This window comes from Homo sapiens, chromosome 6 (assembly GCF_000001405.40).
Source record: "Homo sapiens chromosome 6, GRCh38.p14 Primary Assembly".
NCBI classification, from domain to species: Eukaryota; Metazoa; Chordata; class Mammalia; order Primates; family Hominidae; genus Homo; species Homo sapiens.
This window is the reverse complement of record NC_000006.12, coordinates 150,014,580-150,032,635: the sequence shown is the minus strand read 5'-3', so window position 1 is coordinate 150,032,635 and position 18,056 is coordinate 150,014,580. Positions and strand designations below refer to the sequence as shown.

Here is an 18,056-nt window from a genome sequence, read left to right as displayed (position 1 = left end):
GGCCTGGTGGCCTACGCCTGTAATCCCAGCACTTTGGGAGGCCGAGGTGGTCAGATCACCTGAGGTCGGGAGTTTGAGACCAGCCTGACCAACATCGAGAAACCCCATCTCTACTAAAAATACAAAATTAGTCGGGTATGGTGGTGCATGCCTGTAATCCCAGCTACTTGGGAGGCTGAGGCAGGAGAATCGCTTGAACCCAGGAGGCAGAGGTCGCAGTGAGCCAAGATCACGCCATTGCACTCCAGCTTGGGCAACAAGAGCAAAACTCCATCTCAAAAAAAAAAAAAAAAAAAAAAAAGAAAGTGAAAAAGAAGTCCCCTCTCCAGGGCTATGGCCTCCACCAGGTATAGGCGAGTGCTCCTCCCTTGCTTGAAGACAAGGAGGAGGAGGAAGACCCTGCCTGCTGAGAAACCACATGTCCCAAGAAATGTCCCAGTGCCCCTATGTCCACATTGTTAACACATGACCATGCCGGGGAGGTGCCTGGCCTGCTAGAGGAGGAAGGGCCTGGATGGCAAAGGATCCTTAGCAGGAGGTGGGAGAGGGGAGGGGCTGCCTCTGAGGATGCTGAACATGTTGAGGGTGGGGTGAGGACAGAATCCAAGTTGGATGATGGAGAGTTAATTATCATGGTCACAGGATTTAACATGTTGGTAAAGCACCTGGTGATGGTGCCCATCTGCTAAGAGGATGCATTCTGGCAACCTTGAACAAAGAGATGATCCATACAGCAAAAAACAGAAAATCCAGAACTTCTAAGGCAGGGAACAGAGCAAGGGATCAAAGAGTCAGAGAAGTGCCCATGCTGGAGGGGTCTGAGTGTGAAAATCCAGAACAATGTCCATCTACGGTGGTCATGGGAAGCCTGGAGGACTCCTGTTCACCCAACATATAAAGAAGGCCCTGAGAGAAAGAAGCAGAATGGGAAGAAGCCCAGGGATGCCTGTTGCTGAAGGCCAGGGTTGCAGACAGGAGATGCTGTTTTTGAAATGGGCTCCCAGGAGTAATGGGATGAAAAATCCTGGGCTCAACTATCAGTAGCGTGGAAGGTGCAATGATGGAAAGAATTGGAGAAGTCACAATGCCTGCTCGGGACGTAAGCCACAGAGAGCTATGCCAATGGCTCATATAAAACAAGGAGATCTGAGAGGCAAGCAACACAGAGACCCAGCCCGGATACAGCTGGATTGATATAATTATAACAAGTGAACATTAAACACAAGGATGGATGACCTGGAGGCTGAAACTAGGCAGTCTATTAAAAACCGGGCTTCTCTGACCAACTTGCAAAACCAAGCCACTTCTCAGACTCTGAAGCCATTACTAGAAGGAGACACCAGGTTCCAATGAGGAAGGACCTTTCAACCCCACCTCAAGTGCAATGAGTCTTTCTGGCCTTCCGCATAGATATTTATGGCCTCTAGAGTTTGCTGTGAATGGTGATTTTGTAAACTCTTAAAGGTTTGCAGGGAATATATTCTCTGTCATAACTACTTAACTCTGCTGTTGTAGCTCAAAAGCACTCACAGACAATCCATAAATGATGAAGGAGGCTGGACCTGTTTTGAGCATCCTAGGACCCAGGACACCCTAATCTCCTAGAGGTACCTGTGGTTGCAATTACTAATTGGAAAATCACAACATGGATGGTTAGTGTTACAGAGGCAAGGCAATGACACTGACAGCAGGGAAATCCCAACATTAAAAAGTGGCTCCTGTAGAGTACTGGCAGAGATGGGGCCTTTAGCCATGGGAGGGCAGTGATCACACAGCCTCAGAGCTGCCTGTCACCGAGTGTGCTCTTCACTCTCTAGGTCATTAAGAAGATAGGCCCCGCAGTGAGAATACGAAGGTGGTTATCCTGGGATGGGCAGAAGCAAGGCCACAGGGAAACAAGAAGCTGCACAATCAGTTGGCTCCTCTCCCCAGGACACCACATGGCTGCAATCCCTCACCCTCAGATCACAGCTGTGGTTTCTGGGAGGATCCCTGATGGCCTCCATAGAGCAAAGAAGCTACTCAGCAGCCAAGGAGGGGAGAGTAGGCTTCAAACCATGAAACCCCACTGCCATTACATCCAACCACCCAGAAGCCACAGGCAGGATGGGAACCACTTCTGATTCTTCAACCAGCAGCTGAGACACCACTTGGAGATGACACCTTAAGGGAAGGGGCACCAATTGCTGGGACACTGTAATCCATTTATTTGGGTCAGCAACCTAGGACAGTGTTCAAATCTGGTCCCTCTGTCATTTGCAGGTTGTCCTGGCCTGCTGTTGCTCTATAAAGGAACAAAACTTGACACAGAGACAGAGAAACCATGGCCTGCAAAGATCAAAGTGCCTCCCACCTTCCCTTTCTAGAAAGGTTTTGCCAACCCCTGTTTACATAGTGACTATTTTCTATGATGCTGGCTCCCCATTAGGAAGAACAGGCAGGGCTGGGACCCAAGGGAAGAGTGGATGCCTCTACTCACCAGCATTCCTAGGGTCACGAACAAAACAATGAAAGAATAAAAAGGAAAAATGAAAGCACAGACTTACTGAAATTAAAGTACACCTGACCGAGTGGTAGCTGGCTGGGGGAAGCCCCTCAAGAATGCAGCTGGTTACAGAATTTTCTGGTGTTGGAATACCCTTAGTGGTTTCCCATTGGTTACTTGGTTACACACTATGCAAATGAGAGAGTGGCCTGTGCCCAAGGGAACAATCAGAGACTGAAGTGAAGTTACAAAGTTACACCCTATGCACCTGAAGACTGGTTGCAGAAGGGGACCAATCAGAGGTAATTTCTGCTTTTCATCTGCAAGAGAGTTGAAAGTGGAGAGGTCGCGGATTGTCAAGGGAGTATCCTCTGGTCCTTTTGTTGCTTGGGCACAGAGAGGTGGGGCTCCTTTTGATTCACTTCTAAGAAGTCAGAGCAAATCACCCTTAGGTTCCCTACATCCAGACCCTATTCGCCTGCCTCACTGAAGCCTCCTTCAATGGATTTGGGGGTGAGGTGGGCCTATGGGGTGACGAAAGGTGACAAGGTTGGGTAGAGAGGGAGTAAAAGGATGTGACTTGGGTGGTGGCAGTGAACGGTGAGGGGAGGGGTGGGAAGTGTCTGCTGATCTCCTGGATGCAGGTAAGTGTCTGCAGCAAAGTGCAGGGGGAAGTTCAAGGGCAGGGAGCCCTGGGGGTGCTGGAGAGTTTGTGAGGTGGAGAGTGGATGAGAGCAGAGCAGGCCTGTGGCTGCTGAGGGCGGGGGTCTGGGGTTGACTCCCTGCGGAACCATCCACTTTCCCATACCCCTAGCCACACAAGGTCCCCCGCCTCCCGCACCAGACATGACCAGGGAAGAGTAACCTTGGTTTACAGATGCTCTCCGGCCCCAGCTGTATAGAATCTGCCAGAAAACATTTCATCCCTCCTCACCTCCCTCTTCCCCACCACTCCAGACTACAGCTTCCTGCTGCTGGCCAGGGCTCCCAGTTCCCAAGGGCAGGTGAGGCTGGAGAGGGGGCGCTTTGCCATCATCTCGCCCTCTCCAGCCCTCTCACTGCTCTCCTCCTGCCATTACTCCTTCGAGGACCAACACAGTGATGGTGGCCACTGCTGCTGGGAACCTGGAGCCAGGAGGAGGACAGCCCAGGAGGAAGCACAGTGGCAATGCTGAGTCTCGACCACGTCCCCCAGGCTTTTACAGGGCTAGGTTCGGCAGGTTCCCAACCACCAGCTGGAGCCAGTCCACGCCCCACCCACCTGCTCTTTCTCCAGATCCAGAGGAATCGCTCTGACCCTTTTTTTGTATCTGCCCCTCACCCCTTCTTTTCTCCTTCCCTTCCCTCCTGACCCTTCCTTTTCCCATTTCCATTCCTGATTTCAGGCTCGTTCCTTTAAACAAAGTTTAAAGGGCAAGGTTTTCCTGCCCCAACCACTCACAATTGTACCCTCTGGGTTCAATCAAAGGGGCTAAAGAGAGCAGCTTGCTGTCCTTCTTCAATAATGTTTTCTAGATTTTATCCTGCTGGGGCCCAGACCAGCTGCAAACCAAAGTTATTCTTCCTTGGAAAATCTTTGTGGCCGCCCAGGCAGGCATTCACATTTCCAAATTGTGCCAGCAGTGAGGTCTCCAACCACGATATCCTCACCTTCAGGCCTCTGGGGGTTACAACCTCCACTCCAGCTCCACTTCTGCACCTGGGGTTTTCCCCTGAGCCCCATTCACTCCCACAACTGTCTCATTCATTCAGTCATTTGCTCAGCCTCCAGCCACCCTTAAATCATGTTAGGCTTACCTGGTGATGGAGAGTAAAACCACCGTCCTCTCTGGGTCCAGTCTTTGCCTTCATTTACACCCATTCAAAGAGCCCCCAGGGCCATGAAGAGGCCATGGCATGATCGCAGGGCTCCAGCTGTCATCTGGTTGGGTCTGGCCTTTGCTGATGTTATGGAAGGCAGGGCTCACATGTGAAATAGGAAACCTTCCCTGAGTCCTTAGCATGTGCAAGGACAGGGTTCCTGGCATAAACTGCTCATTTCCTCTGTGTTCATAGTATTAATTTCCACATGTGGACATCCATGCCCAGAAAGGTGAAGAAACTTGCACAAGAATATTCAGCCACAATGCCAGCTGACTTCCATGTCTGAATGCATGCTCTCTAGATCACGGCCATTATAATCACCTTTCAGCCACGTCTATCCCCATCCTGGGCTGGCCTGAATCTGGTGGCCGAGAGTCTGCAGCAGGTGTGAGGCAGGAGGGCCCAGGTGTGCACAGAGTCCCCTCCTACTGTCACCTGGCTGTGCTGCCTGGGACTCTTCTGCCAGGCTTCTGCCTTCCTCCTGTTCCCCCAGTCCCCCGGTCACTGGCCCAGGTCACCCAGCCTCAGGGGTGGGGGCTGCCAGGGCCTTCCCAGTACCCTCCTTTCAAACGCTCCTGTTCCCAGCCCTATGCATGGGAGGCACTTCTCACACACAGATCCCTGGACCTGCCAAGCTCTGCCCCTCTCAGATCTGAGAACTGCCCACCCCCGTGTGTCTGTTGTCCTCCAGACCACCCTCCACATGGCCCCTCCTGGACAGAGGCTCTAGTGCATCAGGCCAGAAACTTCTAGGCTCCTGTGTCCCTGCACAGTCACAGAGGGGCTGCTATCCCATCCCCCTGTGCAGAAGCAGAGACAGTCCCTGGGCTTGGTCTAGGCCTCCTCCCCTTTCCCGCAGCCTCAGGGCTCTGGGGATTGCTGGTCACCAGGTGTGCATCCTCCCCACATGACAACTGTGTGGAGAAGAAGGTCTGTGTCTATTTTACTCATTTAATAGGGAGAAGGCTGAGTGGCTGGGGGCAGTGTGGGACTCAGGGGCTCTGCCCATTCCTTATCCCAACAGCCAGGGATCGCTGGGCCCCCCACCTCCCTCTGCCTTCTGCCCACAGGTCTAGATGCCTTCATGGTGACTAAGACAAGGGGGCACTTGGGGTTGCCCCTTTGATAATGAGTCCAGTGACCATCTAGGGGCTGAGCAGAGGTGTGGGTGCAGCCATGGATTCAGGTGTGGTTGGCCACGGATTGGTGTGCTGGAAAGTGAACCCCACACGTGTGTAGACTCCTCCCTCGGCTCCTGCTCTTCGTGGAAACACAATTGATTACATGATTGAGCAAGTTGTTCACTAGGTCTTTTTAGGAAGGGATGTAGTATATTCTCAAAGACCTCATGCTTCTAGCAGAGAGGCAAAGAAATGTGTGAGCAATTGTCACACAGGGAGATCTGGATGCACCCACTGTGAACCCAGGTCTCAGGGAGCAGGAGGGTGTTCTGTATTGTGGGAACATGCAGGACACACATGGGAGGGGGTATTTGTGCCCGGCTTTGAAGGATGGCTGGCTCTTTGCCCAGGGGGAAGAGGCCAGCAGAATGCGCTGACAGTTGGGAACCACTAGGAACTTTCAGTTGAACCTGCTCTGCTGAGCCCCCTGTGCCATCGGTGGACCTGGGCCAGGGCGGCTGCTGAACTGGGAGCTCAGAGGTAATCTCTCTGAGGAGCTTTCTAAATCAGCAAGCGTGTCACAGGTTGAGATTCTAGGGATGAGGTCCTCAATGCTGTCCTCGATTTTAATGAGCAGCCTTTTGGCCAGTCTGCACTGGGTGAAGCAGAAGCAAGACATAAATTGTTAAGATAATTTTTAAAGCTGCTTAATTTTGGTAAAAACATAGAACATAGAATTTACCATCTTCACCAATTGTTTACTATACAATATGTTGTTTTGAACCTCTGAAACCCTACCTGCTGTTTCTGTAATAAAACCTAGCCCAGGCCGGGCACGCTGACTCATGCCTGTAATCCCAGCACTTTGGGAGGCCGAGGTGGGTGGATCACCTGAGGAAAGGAGTTTGAGACCAGCCTGGCCAACAAGGTGAAACCCCATCTCTACCAAAACTACAAACAATTCGCCGGGCTTGGTGGTGGGCACCCGTAATCCCAGCTACTCCAGAAGCTGAGGCAAGAGAATCGCTTGAACCCAGGAGACAAGGCTGCGGCGAGCCGACATCGGGCCGTTGCACTCCAGCCTGTGCAATAAGAGAGAAACCCCATCTCCAAATACATAAATAGATAAAGAAATAAAAAATAAAACCCAGCCCGGACTGTAACCACGCCCACCGGGGACTGGGGAAGTAGTGGAGGGGACGCGAACAGGCCCATGGCTGTGCCCAGGGCGGGGTGAGCCAGGGACCCCGCGGCGCAAGCGGAAGGAGGGAGAGTGCCGCGGACCCAGGCGGGGACAAGGAGACGCCGAGGCCGCTGAATATTCCTCTGCACGTTTCTTCACCATTAATAAAAAATGCTATAATGATTAAATGAGTCTGTCGTGGAAGGAATCGTGTCCTGGCAGGAGTGGGGCCCGGGCACGAGGCCACCAAGCTGCCGGAGCGGGTGAAGAAGGGAAGGGACACTAGCATGGAAACTGGATTTCGTCCAGACAATGAAACGAAGAGGTGGAACGCGCCCAGTGACTACGCCCAGTAGCATTAAAATCTGGCTTTTCAGAATCGAGGTGACTCATTCCCCGGTACATTCCCCAGTAACTAACAGTATATAAGCCAGCCTTTCAGCACAGAGGTGATTTCATCTTCCAGGATCCACCTTGATTAAATCTCTTGTCCCCAGCCCTCCTGGTCCCCAATGGCAGCAGCCGCCATCCCAGCTTTGCTTCTGTGCCTCCCGCTTCTGTTCCTGCTGTTCGGCTGGTCCCGGGCTAGGCGAGACGGTGAGCTGGTGGATGGAGCCTAAGCGGGGCGGGGGCCAAACCTGAGGGACTGTGGACTGCAGCGGGTTTCAGAGGAGGGAAGGCTTCTGGAAGGACAAGGGAGATCTCCCCGAACTGCGCCCCCAGCTCAGTTCCCCTCCTGGGCTCCTTCCCGCCGGGTCCACTCCCCAAGGCTGTTCTTGCCCCAGTAGGGGCGAAAAAGAGCAGGGTGAAAACGAGGCTGGCAGGAGGGTGGAGGGGCCAGAGGGCTGCGAGGGCTAGGTGGGGCCCGGATTCCTAGTGCAGCCCGGCAGTCCCACCCGCCTTTCGGAAGGAGAAACCAGAGCCCCCCCGGGAACAGAGCTGGGGTCAGGACTGGGTGAAGGGGGGTACCACAGGGATACAATCACAGACGCCCCCACCAGCCACAAGCCTGCTCTGCTCTCACCTGCTCTCTACCACACAAACCCTCCAGCACCCCCAGGACTCCCTGCCTTTGTTTTCCCCGCACTTTTCCTGTAGACACTCACCTGCACCCAGGGGCTCAGCAGATACCCGCCACCCCTCCCCTCACCATCCACTGCCACCACCCAGGTCACATCCTCTTACTGCCCACCTCAGCCCAGCTGGTCACCCCTGAGGTCTCCCCATCCATGAAGGGTACCTCACCACCTCCTACACCACGTCGCACCTTCTGCCTCTTGCCTGAGGACACACCCCAACAAACACACCCCAAGCTCCCCTCAGAACCTGTGCAGGGGGGATGGGAAGCACCATTTCCTCCAGGATGACCCTGGGAACTCTGGTGAGTAGAGGCACCCACTTCTGCCCTTGGGGCCCAGACCGCCTGTTCTTCCTACGGGGGTGTCAGCGTCATAGAGAATAGTCACTGTGTAGACAGGGGTCAGCAAACCCTTTCTAGAAAGGGAGGAAGGATGCCCTGTGATCTTTGCAGGCCATGGGTTCTCCGTCTCTGTGTCCAGTCCTGTCCCTTTGTAGAGCAACAGCAGGCAATGGCAACCTTCAAAGAGGGGGGACCAGATTTGGACCCTGTCCTAGGTTGCTGATCCCAGATCAGGGGATTACAGTGTCCCAGTGCCCCATCCCCTAGGGTGTCATCTCCAAGTGATGTCTCTGATGTCAGTTGGAAAGTAGAAGGTGGCCCTACCTTGCCTGTGGCTTCTGGGTGGTGTGGATGTGATGGGAGTGGGGGTCCCATAGTTGGGGGCTTATTCTCCCCTCCTTTGTGCTGAGTGGCATCCATGGGGACCATCAGGTACCCTCCCTGAAGCCTCAGGTGTGAGCTGAGGGTGAGTGGGTGCAGCCACGTGGTGTCCTGGGGATCAGGTCCAACTGCTTGTGCAACTTCTTGGTTCCCGGTGGCCCTGCTCCTGCCCATCCCAGAAGAACCACCTGCATCTTCTCACTGCTGGGCCTATCTTCCTAATGACCTAGAGGGCGAGGAGCCCACCAGTAATGGGCAGCTCTGAGGCCTTCAGGAATAGGCATCCCTAAGCTTCATTCCATTCTGGTGCCTTGTCATGGGGCCTTCTTTATATGCATGGCAAAAGGCCCCATCTCTGCCAAGGTGCAGTACTCTACAGGAGCCACTGCTTAATGTTGCGATTTCCTTGCTGTGAGTGGCATTGCCTTGTCTCTGAATATTCACATGGAATCTCTGTTGTGATTCTCCAATTAGACATTGTGACCACATGTACCTCTAGGATCTTAGGGGGTCTTGGGTCATTGGGCACTTAAGGTAGGTCCAGCCTCGCTCATCATTCATGGATTGTCTATGGCTGCTTTTGAGCTTCAACAGCAGAGTTGAGTAGTTACAATGGAGAATATATTCCCTGAACACCTTTACATGTTTACAAAATTGCCCTTCACAGCAAACTCTATTGGCCATAAATATCTCTGGAGAAGGCCACAAGGACTCACTGTCCTGGCTGCAGGGTTAAAGGGTCCTTCCTCACTAGAAACTGGTGTCTTCTTATAGTCATGGGTTCAGGGTCTGAGAAGTGGCTTCATTCTGCAAATTAGGCAAAGCAGCCTCGTTCTTGATGGACTGGCTACTTTCAGCCTCCTGATTTGGTTTATCTCTGTTTCTTGTAATTATTTAAATCCAGCAGTATCCGGGGTGGGTTTCCATCTCTTTTGGACTTTGGACCCCTTTGTTCTATGAGCCATGGGCATAACTTTGTATAACTGAGGTCCCCAGCTGGCATTGTGACTTCTCTAATCATTTCCATCATTGCACCCTCCTTGCTCCTGACAGTTGACAGCCTCCACCTGGAATTTGGAATTTCAGAATTGTTCATCCCATTACTCTGGGAGCAGATTTCAGGAACAGCATCTCCTACCCCCAACCCTGGCCTTCAGCAATAGGCATCCCTAAGCTTCATTCCATTCTGGTGCCTTCTCATGGGGCCTTCTTTATATGCTGGGTAAACAGGAGTCCTCCAGGTTTCCCATAAGCACAGTGGATGGACATTGTTCTGGATTTTCACACTTAGACCCCTCTGGCATGGGCACTTCTCTGAGCCTGTGATCTCTCCCTCCACTACCTGCCTTAGACTTTCAGATTTTCCATTTCTTGCTGTGTGGACCATCTCTTTGTCCAAGGTTTCAGGAAGGCCTCCTCATAGCAGATGCATGCCATCACCAGGGGCTTTGCCAACATGTTACATCCTGTGACCATGATAATTAACTCTTCTTTATCCAACGGGGTTCCATCCTCACTCTGTTCAACCAGCACCAGCATCCACAGGGGTGGACCCACACCCTCTCCCACCTCCCGCAGTCCACGTGGGCTACTGCTGAAGATCCTCTGCCATCCAGGCCCTTCCTCCTCTCTTGCTAGAGAGGCCTGGCACCTTTCTAGCAAGGTCATGTGTTGACTGATGTGGGCAGAGGGGCAGTGGGACATGTCTGGGGACATGTGGTTTCTCAGCAGACAGAGACTTCCTCCTCCTCCTCCTCCTTGTCCTCATGCAAGGGGCGAGCACTCGCCTTAAACTTGTAGACACCACAGTTCTGGAGGGGGCACTCCTTCCTGGGCCAGCCCAGCCTGCCAGAGGCATCCTCTTATTGACACAGCGTGGAGGGGGGCTAACTAGGGGTCTTTTCCTCCCCACCCACCCCTCACCTGCCTTTCTCCACAGACCCTCACTCTCTTTGCTATGACATCACCGTCATCCCTAAGTTCAGACCTGGACCACGGTGGTGTGCGGTTCAAGGCCAGGTGGATGAAAAGACTTTTCTTCACTATGACTGTGGCAACAAGACAGTCACACCCGTCAGTCCCCTGGGGAAGAAACTAAATGTCACAATGGCCTGGAAAGCACAGAACCCAGTACTGAGAGAGGTGGTGGACATACTTACAGAGCAACTGCTTGACATTCAGCTGGAGAATTACACACCCAAGGGTAAGTTTCAGATGGCCCAGGACAGCAGGGAGCAGATACAGTGGTAGGTTAGAGGCATTTATAGTTTTCATGTAAAAATACAAAAGGGTCCTGGGCACGGTGGCTCACGCCTGTAGTCCCAGCACTTTGTGAGGTAGAGGTGGGCCGATCACAAGGTCAGGAATTCGAGACCGCCTGACCAACATAGTGAAACACTGTCTCTACCGAAATGCAAAAATTAGCCAGGCATGGTGGCGCATGCCTGTAATCCCAGCAACTTGGGAGGCTGAGGCAGGAGGATCCCTTGAACCCGGCAGGCAGACGCTGCAGTGAGCCGAGGTGGTGCCATTGCACTCCAGCCTGGGCAACAGAGTGAGACTTTGTCTCAAAAAAAAAAAAAAAAGCCAGGTGCAGTGGCTCAAGCCTGTAATCCCAGCATTTTGGGAGGCTGAGGTAGGCGGATCACAAGGTCAAGAGATCGAGACCATCCTGGTTAACACAGTGAAACCCTGTCTGTACTAAAAATACAAAAAAATAGCCGGGTATGGTGGCGGGCGCCTGTAGTCCTAGCTACTTAGGAGGCTGAGTGAGCCGAGATCGCGCCACTGCACTCCATCCAGCCTGGGTGACAGAGCGAGACCCTTTCTCAAAAAAAAAAAAAAAAATACAAATGGGAAGGTCATCTTACCCCTCAAGAGTCTAGAGGCAAGGCCAAGATGTAGCAGAGAGAGTAAGGCCAGCAAATTGTAAGGGGAACAGGATGGGGGTGCAAAATTTGTCAAGATCAGAGCTGATCTCTCTCTGATGGGGGCAGAACCCCTCACCCTGCAGGCAAGGATGTCTTGTGAGCAGAAAGCTGAAGGACACAGCAGTGGATCTTGGCAGTTCAGTATCGATGGACAGACCTTCCTACTCTTTGACTCAGAGAAGAGAATGTGGACAACGGTTCATCCTGGAGCCAGAAAGATGAAAGAAAAGTGGGAGAATGACAAGGATGTGGCCATGTCCTTCCATTACATCTCAATGGGAGACTGCATAGGATGGCTTGAGGACTTCTTGATGGGCATGGACAGCACCCTGGAGCCAAGTGCAGGAGGTAACAGGAGAAAAAGAAACGGGGATCTTAAATGAGATCAGAAATGGGGATCTCAAGAAGTTAGTTCTTGAGTTCAGCTTCAATCATCCCAGTGTACACGTTTATGTTAAAATGACCTCCTCGTCGGGCCCTCCTCCTGGGGTTACTGGCATGCCTGTGCCCTCCCACCCTCCTCTTCCTTCTCCCTCCTGACTCCTATTCCTCACTGCACTTGCTTCTGCTCCCCACACTGTGGATTTCTCACCAGCCTTGAAACTGCAGGTGTCACTGTTTTCAGAACTTTTTCCTTAGTGTTTCCTCTTTTGAGAATCACTTTTCCTTTCCTTTCCCTGGTCTGGTTCTGGAAATCCATCAAAACCACTTCCAACACCAGCCAGAGATCCTCCCCTCCCCAACTCTGGGGCATCACCTCCTCTTCCCCCACAGCAGGAGGGTGGGGTGTGTTGTCACCTTGCTTCCCTCAGCAGCTGTGTGAGCTCCCTGAGGACAAGACACACCCCGTCTCCCTTCCTAAGCCAGGACCTGTCATACTGGCTGCCCCACACCAGGGGGGAGGGGACAAAACTTTTGCCTTCCAGGATGACCTAGGGTGGCAGGAACTGAGGAGGTGTCTCCTCAGATTTGGGGCCTGGACAAGGGTTGTCACTTTTGTGTTTCCATTTCAGCACCACTCGCCATGTCCTCAGGCACAACCCAACTCAGGGCCACAGCCACCACCCTCATCCTTTGCTGCCTCCTCATCATCCTCCCCTGCTTCATCCTCCCTGGCATCTGAGGAGAGTCCTTTAGAGTGACAGGTACTGTGGGCAGAATTGGAAGTGGAGCAAGGAGCAGGTGGGTGAGGAGGCAGGATGGGGAAAGAGAATTCCCGGAGTCCCGCCCCTCCCCGTGGCTGGGACCTTCTCATCCTAACATGAGACAGGTGAATGAGACCTTGTGTTGCCTGTTGGCAATGTTGGCAATGACCTGGGCAGCTCAGCCCTGAGTTCTGATGGTTTCTCACCTTCAGAGTCCAGAGGGAAAGGGAGGGGCCCATACCAAGGCTCAGGGTCTGTTGAGCTTGAGAAGGTTTAGCAAGTTCAGGCCTGATTCAGAGCAGGTTCCTATTCAGGAAGGGTGTGTGGCCTGCAGGCAGCAGGAATTCAGACATGGGCAGTCCTCTTAATTGGGTTAGGTGCATCATGGTAGCTTTACATGAGGTGTGACAGGGGAAGGGGGATTCCATCTCTGAGGCTAAGAGAGATCTGGGTGTAATCCCAGGAGGAGGGGGCTGGGAGAGCCTTGGTACACCTAATTGAAAAGGAGGGAGTGCAGGGCTGCCTTCCCACAGAAAGTAGGTGGAAGGTGAAGAGTAGAGGCTGCTCAAGAGAAGGATTTTTAAAAAGTCAGTCCCATGTACCCGTGGGGTTTGAGTCTGGGCCCTGAGGCAGCTCCCCTGCCATCACACTCCTGCACACCCCAGATCCTGAGCCCAGTCATAGCCCTGCCAGGAGCAGAGTGGACTCAGAGGAAGGAGCATCTGAGCTGCTGCTGGGGTTCCACGGGCACCACTGGGCTGGATAAGGAATGGAAAAGGTGGAACAGGGACAGTCACCTTCAGAACTATGGGTGCTGCTCCCAGTGTGAGGTGATGCTCAAGAAGAAGGGGAAAGAAGGATGTTTGCCTGCAGGCCCACCAAAGGCCAAGGGCACAGGAATACAGAGCCCTCTCTTTGGAAGTCTGTCCCACCCCTTGCCATGTTTTAGACCCTGTCATCAGATGATAAAGAGGGCCTTGAGTGAGGGAGCGGACCCATCACTACCAGCTTCAGACCTGTGGGCCCCTCCACTCCATCCCCTGGTCAGGTGCAGGGCCTGGGCTGACTCTGTGATGTGACAAAGGAGGAAAGAGGTAGGTCCAAGCTGCAGTCGCCAGGGTTGGGGCTCAAGGGAAAAATAGGTCCCTTAGTGCAGGGGGCTCTGAGACATAGAGTGACTAGGGAAAGATTACCGTGGAAAAGTGATCCGGGTTCTCTGCCTCTTAAACCAACATTTGGGTCCTTTCTGAAGGTTAAAGATGATACCAAAAAGCCCCTGTGAGCACGGTCTTGATCAACCTCGCCCTTCTGTCTGGCCAGCTGCCCACCACCTACGGTGTATGTCCAGCAGCCTCCAGCAGATGATGATGACACCATGGACCCAATAGCTCATTCACTGCCTTGATTCCTTTTGCCAACAATTTAACCAGTGATTATTCCTAACATATTATGCAATTTTCTCTTGGTGCTACCTGATGGAATTCCTGCACTTAAAGTTCTGGCTGACTAAACAAGATATGTCAACATTTTCTTTCTTCTCTTTTTGTTTGGAAAATCAAGTACTTCTTTGAATGATGATTTCTTTCTTTCATTACTGACATGATTGTCAGTAAAACAATCATGTTAGACTTCAGACCTCCAGGGATTCTTTCCATGTCCTGAAAGAGAATTGTTTAATTATTTAATAAGAAAAAAATTTATATTAATGATTGTTTCCTTTAGTAATTTATTGCTGTGTACTGATATTTAAATAAAGAGTTATATTTCCCAAAAACCTACTGAGTTTAGAATTTTGTTGTATTACTCAGTAGAGAATTAATGTTATTTCATTTTTCCTCCATGATATGGAGTAATAAATGAGTGATTCTGCCAGACTTTGTGTGGAAAAAGAGAATCTACAAAACATGGCTGAAAAAAATCAGAGACAAAACAAATACATGGAAAAATATTTCATGCTCATGGGTTGGAGAATCAATATAGCTAAAATGGCCATACTTCCAAAAGCAATTTATAGATGCAACACTATCTCTATCAATACCAATGTCATTTTCCACAAAATTAGACAAATCTAATCTAAAAGTTCTTTGGAGTTAAAAAAGAGCCCAAATAGCCAAAACAATCATAAGCAAAAAGAACAAAGCCAGAGACACCACATAGCCTGACTTCAAACTATAATATAAGGCTACAGTGATCAAAACAGAATGGTACTGGTACCAAAATAGACACTTAGATCAGTGGAACAGAATAGACAGCTCAGAAAGAAACCTTCACACCTTTTAACTTTCAACAAAATCAACAAAAAAAGCAATGAGGAAAGAGTCCTAATTCAATAAATGGTGCTGGGATAACTGGCTAGCCATGTGTAGGAGAACGAAACTGAACCTCTACCTTTCACCATATATGTAAAATAACTCGACATGAATTAAAGATTTAAATGTAAGTCCTAAAACTATAAAAATCCTGGAAGATAACCTAGGAAATGCCACTTTGGACATACAGCCTGACAAAGATATCATGATGAAGACACCAAAAGCATTTGCAACCAAAAACAAAAATTGACAAATGTGACCTCATTAAACTAAAGCGCTTCTCCACAGTAAAAGAAATTAGCAACACAGTAAACAGCCTATAGAATGGGAGAAATATCTGCAATCTATGCATCTGGCAAAGCTCTAATATCCAGAATCTACACGGAACTTAAACAACTCAACAAGCAGGAACAAAATTCCAATTAAAAAATAAGCAAAGAATGTGAACAGACACTTTGCAAAAGAAGACCTGCAAGTGGCCAACGAACATGAAAAAATGCTCTTTGGGAAGCCGCGGTGGGCAGATCATGAAGTCAGGAGTTTGAGACCAGCCTGACCAACATGGTGAAACTCCGTCTCTACTAAAAATACAAAAATTAGCCAGATGTGGTGGTGCATACCTGTAACCTGTAATGGTGCATAGTCTGATGTTGGAACTATGAAATACCTTGGACTGGTACTTTCCAGTCTTTTCCAGCAGATGGCACTGTTCATCTTTCAAATATTTCAATAAGCCCAGAGGGTTTGCCAACAGCGAGTTTGTGCCCTGAGCTCCTTGGCACACAACCTGGGATCCACAGCCAAGGGCTAGAGAAGACAAAAGAGACATTGACATCATGGTGGAAGAGGAATCCATAAAGAGTTCATTTCTGAGGACTGGGGCAGTTCCTCCCACCCTGCAGATCAAGATGCCCTGAGGGCAAAGAGCAGAGGGGTACTCTGGTGGCCCAGCAGTTCTGCCCTGGGGGAGGATTCTCTTCTGCTGCAGTGAAAACCAACAGGACGCTGCTTCATCCCAAGGGGACCAGGAAGATAGATCAGAGTGAGGAGCTGTCTGAGTGTTTCAGATCACACAGTGACTGCCTGCTTGATGGCTTCAGAACTCCTTCATGAGCTGGGAGACAGCCCCCAAGGTGAAAGGTGTGTGGGCAGGATGGGCTCGACATGACAACTCTCAAGATGACACGCAGTTTCTCCCATGTGTTTCTGTGTGTCTTTTTGTGTGCCCGTGTATGTGCATGGCTGTGTCTGTATTTCTGCATGCATTTGTGTATGTGTGTCTCTGTGAATGTGTGTGCCTGTGTGGTGTGAGTGTGTGTGAGAGATTGTGCCTGCATGTCTCTGTGTGTGTGCATGTGTGTGTGTGTGTGAGATAACATGCATGTATGAATGTTGAATTGATTTTCTGGTTGACTTGCTGTGGAGGGAGTCAGGGACTCCAGGGGGCTTCCTGCCCACCCCTCGTTCCCTGTAGCCAGTAGCACAAATGGCGTAATAAAAGGTAGTTTAATTTCATTTCATGCAAATGTAAAACTTTTGTGCTTCCAAAAGAACTCCAATTAGAAGATTAAAAAAAAACTTCCAGAACGAGAGAAAATCATTGAAAATCATATATCTGGTAATGGACTGTTATTCTGAATATATAAAGAACTCTTCCAACTCAATATTACAAAGGGAAATAACCCAATTTAAATATATGCAAGGAATTTGAATAGACATTTCTCCAAAGTGAGACAGGTATACTACACGGTGGTCTCAAAAGAATAGAAAATTTTGGGCAGCAGTTTCAGGTGACTAGCAAAAGAAATCTGTTGAAATATCTGCAGTGGCTCTGGGCTGATAAGTTGCTGAGAAACAGCATGTGGACCAAGCTGACTAAGAATGAGTGGATCCAACATGGCCCTGGATTTGACCTAGGTTTCACCTGGGACCTCATTACATGCTGATAAACACACTAAACACACACTAGCCAGCTCCCTAGCAGTTCTGAGAATACCCATATTTGGTGTAAAAATTCGAGGCACCAGAGTTCTGAGAATCCCTGTCCTTCTTCCAGGAATTTTCATGAATATTCCACCCCTTGGTTGAAGAAACCAGGAAAGGTGGCAGCACCAAACCCCCTTGCACCTGCCTCTCTCTTGAGTTCCCCTGCACTCCCTTTACTTGAGTGTGTACTTTTCCTTTTACAATAAATCTCCGTCCTTCCTCTATTTTCCTACTGGTCTTCGAATTCACTTCCCCAAGCGCTGCCAAGAGCCCCGCACCGGCTGGGGTCGCGGTCCAACCGGCGTTTAGGGACCTCCCCTTGCCCACTGGCATCAGAAGAAGAATGCAAATGGCAGTGAGCCCAGGAAAAGGGGCTCAGTGTCCACAGACCTCAGGGAAATGCCAACCGCACCCACAAGGCGACGCCTCACCCCGCTAGAATGGGTGACCCCAAACACTGTGAGGCTGGAGGGGGTGGGGCCTGCGTTCCTTACAAGGCAGAGAGCAGGAGACTGAGAGTTGGTGGAGTGTAGGGCTGTTCCTGTGTCATCCTCTTCCCGTTTTCCTGGCGGAGGTTTCTCTTTGTTCTCTGGCCCTCCCTGCTTCCTTCCTCTCCCTTTCTCTGGTTCTCCCTCCCATCCTTCATTTCCAACCATCCCAAGGTTTTCTCCGCCCCACGACATGCATGCTCCGGGTCCCCAGCCCAGCGTAGAAACCAGGAGCCCTGGACCGCGAGCGGCGGGATCCGGGAGGCGACAACCTGACGCCCCTGCCGGACCCTGGACACTCAGGACCTAGTGCGTCCCGGCGCCCTCCTGTAGCGGCCCCAGGGCAAGGAGGATGGGGGTCCTCGCGGGGCCCACACTGTCGGAGCCCCACAGATTCGAGTGGGACGGTGAGGTCTACACACTGAGCCGGTGACAAAGTCCCCGCGAGGATGAAGGAGGGACCTCGTGCTCCTCACCTCAACAGGCCCCGCATTTCCTTGATCCTTCTGACACGGGAACCAAGGGTCCCTTGCCGCGACCAGCGAGTCATCCCAGGTCTTCGAAAGGCCGTTTTTTTCCGGACGCTGTGGACCCGGAGGCCCGGGGGTATCGGCCGGCAGCGGCGCACCCACTCCGGGGTCTCCACAGGGCAGGACCTGGGTCCGGAGCTCGGGCGAAGCGGACGCCCTGGGCGGAGCCCGCAGAAGCCAGAATGGACGCGGAGGGGTCGAAACTGAAACCCCCA

General features: G+C 51.3%; 1 protein-coding gene across 1 annotated transcript, besides 1 other annotated feature; it reads left to right on the top strand.

Moving 5' to 3' along the window:
- Positions 1-7,103: 7,103 nt before the first annotated feature.
- RAET1L (retinoic acid early transcript 1L) lies at positions 7,104-14,302 on the top strand. Its single transcript, NM_130900.3, has 5 exons — positions 7,104-7,249; positions 10,393-10,656; positions 11,450-11,731; positions 12,397-12,528; positions 13,781-14,302. The coding sequence occupies exons 1-4, from the start codon at positions 7,165-7,167 to the stop codon at positions 12,504-12,506; spliced, it is 741 nt and encodes a 246-aa protein (NP_570970.2). The 5' UTR covers positions 7,104-7,164; the 3' UTR covers positions 12,507-12,528; positions 13,781-14,302.
- Positions 15,451-15,690: an enhancer, noted in NCBI's record as "active region_25270". NCBI's record gives its function as "activates an Ori minimal core promoter by ATAC-STARR-seq in GM12878 lymphoblastoid cells {active_cell/tissue: GM12878}" and the evidence as "EXISTENCE:reporter gene assay evidence [ECO:0000049][PMID:35858748]".

Bases quoted from the DNA above. Each gene is read 5' to 3' on its own strand.
- RAET1L (NM_130900.3), top strand. From the start codon at position 7,165: ATGGCAGCAGCCGCCATCCCAGCTTTGCTTCTGTGCCTCCCGCTTCTG. The intron at 10,657-11,449 runs GTAAGTTTCAGA...TGATGGGGGCAG, and splicing joins GGAGAATTACACACCCAAGG to AACCCCTCACCCTGCAGGCA. The intron at 11,732-12,396 runs GTAACAGGAGAA...TTTCCATTTCAG, and splicing joins CCTGGAGCCAAGTGCAGGAG to CACCACTCGCCATGTCCTCA.